This window comes from Homo sapiens, chromosome 21 (genome assembly GCF_000001405.40).
Source record: "Homo sapiens chromosome 21, GRCh38.p14 Primary Assembly".
NCBI lineage: Eukaryota > Metazoa > Chordata > Mammalia > Primates > Hominidae > Homo > Homo sapiens.
In genome coordinates this window covers 38,836,950-38,842,140 of record NC_000021.9, presented here as the reverse complement: position 1 = coordinate 38,842,140, position 5,191 = coordinate 38,836,950, and positions in this window count along the sequence as shown.

Here is a 5,191-nt window from a genome sequence, read left to right as displayed (position 1 = left end):
CAGCTGGGAGGAGCCGTCAGAGCCCCTAGAGATCTCCCTCTGGTCCTCACATGTGGCCCCTGCATCTCAGGGCCAGTGAGCGTGCATGCCATCCATCTCAGGATCAGACTCCACTGACTTCTCTTCCTGCTGCACCCCTCTTCTGCTCCCAGCCTGAGAGTGCCCTACTGTGAAGGCCTCATGAAATTAATTTGGCCCACCCAGAGAATCCAGGACAATCTCACTATTATAAAGTCCCTAAATTTAATTACATCTGCAAAGTCTCTCTGACCATGTAACACAGCATATTCACAGGCCTCAGAGATTAGGGCATAGACATATTTGGGGGGCCCTTGTTTTGCTGATCACACACATTGTGTGTGAAATTAGAAATAAGGCATGTTGGTTGCACAACCAAGCACAAGGCTGTGCCCCCTGGGAGGTTCTCAGTTCCTTGACTGGAGTACAGCTCTTGAATGAACAAGACTGTTGTAGTCATCGCCTTTCGATAATGAGGGCAGCATTGTGCCAACACCTTGACAGAGTGATTCAAAAGTGGGTAATCTCTGTGGAGACATGATTCTCATGTTATTGTCTGGTCAGACAGCTTCACTTCATGGAAACCACCAACATTCTCATTTGTACTTTGATATTTCCACTGGGCACCTCTATCAGCAAACTGCTCAAATCTATTCATTTCCTCGGAAAGCTGTTCCATAAGTGCTAATTGAGTCTATCTTTTCAATACATTTAAAAAATAAGTGCTAGAGATGGTGCACAGAGTTAGGGAAAAAATGATGCTGGAAACAGGTGACTTTGAGGAGGGTTCATACACCACGGGGCTGTTCACAAAGGTGTGGGCGTAGGAAACTGCAAAGTAGAAAGCAAGGTGCGGTACACGCAATAATGACCCCCAAGAGGTCCACCTCCTGCTCCCCAGAACCTGTGAACATGCTGCCTTACTCGGCAAAAGAGACTTTGCAGGGTGACTGAGGATCTGGAGATGGGCAGACTGTCATGGATCACCCATGTAGTCACAGGGTTCCTCGAAAGAGGGAAGCAGGATCCTCACAGTCAGAGATGAGTGATGATGAAAGCGGAGGGTGGGCAGAGAGAGAGTTGAAGGTGCCACACTGCTGGCTCTCAGGATGGTGGAAGGGGCCATAAGCCTGGGAATGCAGGCTGACTCTAGGAGCTCCAGAGGGCACTAGCCCTTGACGTTAGCCCAGTGGGACTATTTCTGGACTCTTGTCCTCTAGAAATGTAAGATAATAAATATATGTTGTTTTAAGTGAATGAGTGTGTGGAAATTTCTTACAGCAGACACAGGTAATGAATACAGGCAGTAACCTGGGGCTCCCTGCAGTTCAGCTTCAGCACCTTCTAAGCCTCGAGGGACAAGGGTAGGCACTAGTTAGTGGAACCACAAGGAGAGCCATGGAGAGTCAGCCTTTGAGAGGAGCATAGCCTCAGGCCCACGGACACAGCCAGCTCAAGGCCAGCTGGTCAAAAGGGAGGCAGGAGAGCCCGGTGGCTCACGTCTGGAATCTTAGCACTTTAGGAGGCCAAGGCGGGCAGATCACTTGAGGTCAGGAGTTCAAGACCAGGCTGGCCAACACGGTGAAATTCCGTCTCTACTAAAATATACTAAAAATAAAAAAATTAGCCAGGCGTGGTGGCACGTGCCTTTAGTTCAGCAGCTCGGGAAGCTGAAGCAGAAGAATCGCTTGAACCCAGGAGGTGGAGGTTGCTAGTCAGCCGAGATCATACCACGGCACTCCAGCCTGAGTGTTAGAGTGAGACCCTGTCTCAAAAAAAAAAAAAAAAAGCAGGGATCAGGGGAGGCAGGAGAGTGAAACTCCAGTCTCCTTCTGGAAATCCCCATGGGATGAACCCCCAAGAAACATGGGGTAGGAATCTGTTTGTGGTCAACACCCCACAGGTCAGCGGCACCCCACAGGGTGGAGAAGGACAGAGGTTAGACATAAAGGCTGAACTGACCACACTGTACACCATGCAGTCATGAGACGTGAGAAGCGGGGTGCCCCTTGTGCTGAGTCAGAGGCAGATGCATGTCTCTGCGCCATAACTCTCAAGATCATGCCTTATTGCAGTGGTTCCCCAGCTTTGCTGAGCATTAGAATCATGAATGGAACTTGGAGAAAATATAGATGTCCAGGGCCCACCCAAGAGTAATGGAATCAGAGGCTCCCAGGGAGGGCCCCAGAGGTGTGCTGACTATTGCATTGACTTCCTAGCTGCCCTTTCTATAGTTCTTTTCCTGGCATAGCAACTCCATATCTTTACATTATATCTTGAGACTCAGTGCCTTACTTCACCACAAAAAATGTCCTTGAATCTGAGTCAAACAGATGAATCATTTGTCTATAATTCACAAGAACGTTGCATCATACAAACTTTAGAATGGACTCCTGTGAAATGATTTTCAAGCATAATATCTTCAGGTCCACAATAAATTAGAGGGGCCTTAACTTTAAACTATGCTTACACATTATTCAGCTTTTATTGGGACCTTCCCAAAACTGAGGTGGCTTACATTTGGCCTTTAAGAATATAGAATTGTCTTAACCAAAAACGTGATGTTCCCACATGGGCTAACTTGGCAAAGCAGTGGCGTTTCTTTGACTGTCCACGGCTGTATTTAGAGTTTGATTTGACTCATGTTGTCTATTTTCTCATGAGCTTCTATATTTTAGGAATGTTGCAGTTCTCTTTGAAAAGTTTGAATGCAAGTGACCCATTCATTCTGTGATCATATAATTTATTGTCGTAACTGAAGCAATTTTAAGAGTGAAAGGGAGCTATGAATAATATACTGGGCACAGCATGATACGCTGGCCCCAGCCAGGCCCGTCCAGGGCACTCAGGGATGTGTGCTCACCTTTGCTGTTCATGACCCGAGGTAGGAGACAAGGACCAAGGTCAAGGGCTGCTGCACACTCACCGCATGCAGGCCGAGGTCTGGCTTCATATGAAGCATGCTCAGGTCTTTGGTAAAAGGTCCACTCTGGCTGTGTGCAGACATGAATTGGAGGAAGTAATAGTGAAGTGGGGGCCTAGTAAGGGAGGTGGTTACCCAAGGAACAGAGCACTTGGGAAGAGGTAATGGTGGCTTACAGGATGGTGGTAGTCGAGATGGACAGAAAAGAGTAGAGGGGCTTTGCAGGGCGGAATTTATGGGAGTACCTGATGGATGGATACAGAGGAGTCAGGAGGGATTTCCAGATGTCTGGGCTGAGCAACCGGGAGAGCAGGGAGCTGCTGACCCACACAGGGGATTCTGGAGGCCAAGCATACCCTCCATGGTGGCTTCTCCAAGGGGGAGCTTCAGCCTACGGTTCCTCACACTTTTCTGGGACAGGTGGTATCCTCAGGACAAGACTCACCCACGCAGATGAGTGTTTCTGAGGATAATTGGGAAGACACCCTGCATATGTTGCACGCTGTTTCTCATGGTCCTGTCCTTCCTGCCTGATGTTGGGCTGCAGAACCCCAGTCACATGGTGCAGCTCACGCAGACCAGGCTGTCTGTGCCCTTGTGTCTTTGCCTGGGCTGTACTGTCTGCAGGAAATGCTCCTGTCCCTTCAACTTCCCCGGATCCTGCCCTGTATTTATCGAAGGATTCTTGCTGTTCCACATCTCATCCTGCTGTAGGCATCACCTGGGAGCAACCCGGGGTCTCAGCTCCTGCTGCAAGACCTGATAATCTGAACCTGCTTAGTGAAAGATCTCCAAGTGATTCATCTACCCCTTCATGTGTGAAAAGCATTGGAGGTAGCTCCTACTCATTCATCAGTGTTAAGCTCAGGGACCACCTCCTCCAGAGAGCCTTCCTTGATGTTCCCACCCTCCCCAGCCGGCTGCAGAGACAGTTGGAGCATGGGGCACAGCTCCAGCAATGCGCCGTGGCCACCTTAGTAGGCACCTCTAGCTCTAGTTTCTTCAGGTCCCAAGACAGTTCTTCACTGGGCTCAGATGACACCACATCCTCCTCCTTTTAGGTCCAGAGGTAAGACTACCTTTTCTCTAGTGCTAGCCCCTGGGAGTCTCACCATCTCTTGTCCAAGCCTTTATCTCCGCCCAGGAAACTGTCATACGAAACTGTGACAGCCCAGGAAACTTTCCTTTATCAAAGTCTCTTCATCTGCACCATTTGGAATGAACTGTTTCTTGTTGAAATCTTGTCTGATTCATCAGGCAACTCTCCTTTAGTGTATAGATAATTTAGTTGTCTTTTCTGTGTGTACAAATTGTGTACATACAAAGTTTTTCCTTTATTTATGTAAATATTAAAAAAACACTTTGTATCTCTCTTAATTCTACATTTTCTTCAGGTACTGACATAACAACTGAAAGTCCCTTCTCTCAACATTCGGGTGTTTTGTGTGTGTGTGTGTGTGTGTGTGTGTGTGTGTGTGTGTATGTGTGTAACAGAGAATGGGTTTGCCATCAATGGAAATCTTTTTGTTGATTATATAGTTTAGAAATGTTTAGACAACATTGTCTTAAAACATCAATGGTTAAGAAAAATATAAAACAAGAAACAAATAGTTATAAAATATCAACTCTCCCAGGTTAGTCAATAAATTTAGGACTAAACTAATACAAATATTAGATAGTTTGAATGTTATATTGTTCTTAAGTTTTTTTGCATTGTTTTTAAAAACAATTAAAATTTATTCAGGTAAATACTGTTACTTGTATAGATGTACAGTAACAGCTTGTGGCATTCAGAAATGAACTTTATCGTTTTAAACATCTCCACCCATCTCAAACATAAAAGGTGAACTTAAATAAAAATGCAATACTCATACCATGTAATTTAAAGGGTCCAGTGATGAGGAATTATATTTATGAGAATTACATTGATGTCTATATTTTAAAATACTAACGTAAAATTATAATGCTATACCAAACTTCAAGAAATCAAAATCGTGGCATCCCAAGTAACAATAGCTAAACTAAAAAGAGATAAATCCAGATCACTTTAAAGAGACAGCCCAGGCTGCTGTGTCCCTCTGTGGTCCCGCGCATTCAGGGCCCTACTTCTGGGAGAGTTGAGTGAAACCTGGTGGCCTGGGTCCCTGAGCCTCACAGCACCTCCCTCCTCCTTGCTGGGGACCTGATGACCCAGGGGACCCCTGCTACTTCTGGGCCTCTGTGGGCTGTGCCTGGAGAAGCAGGAGCAAA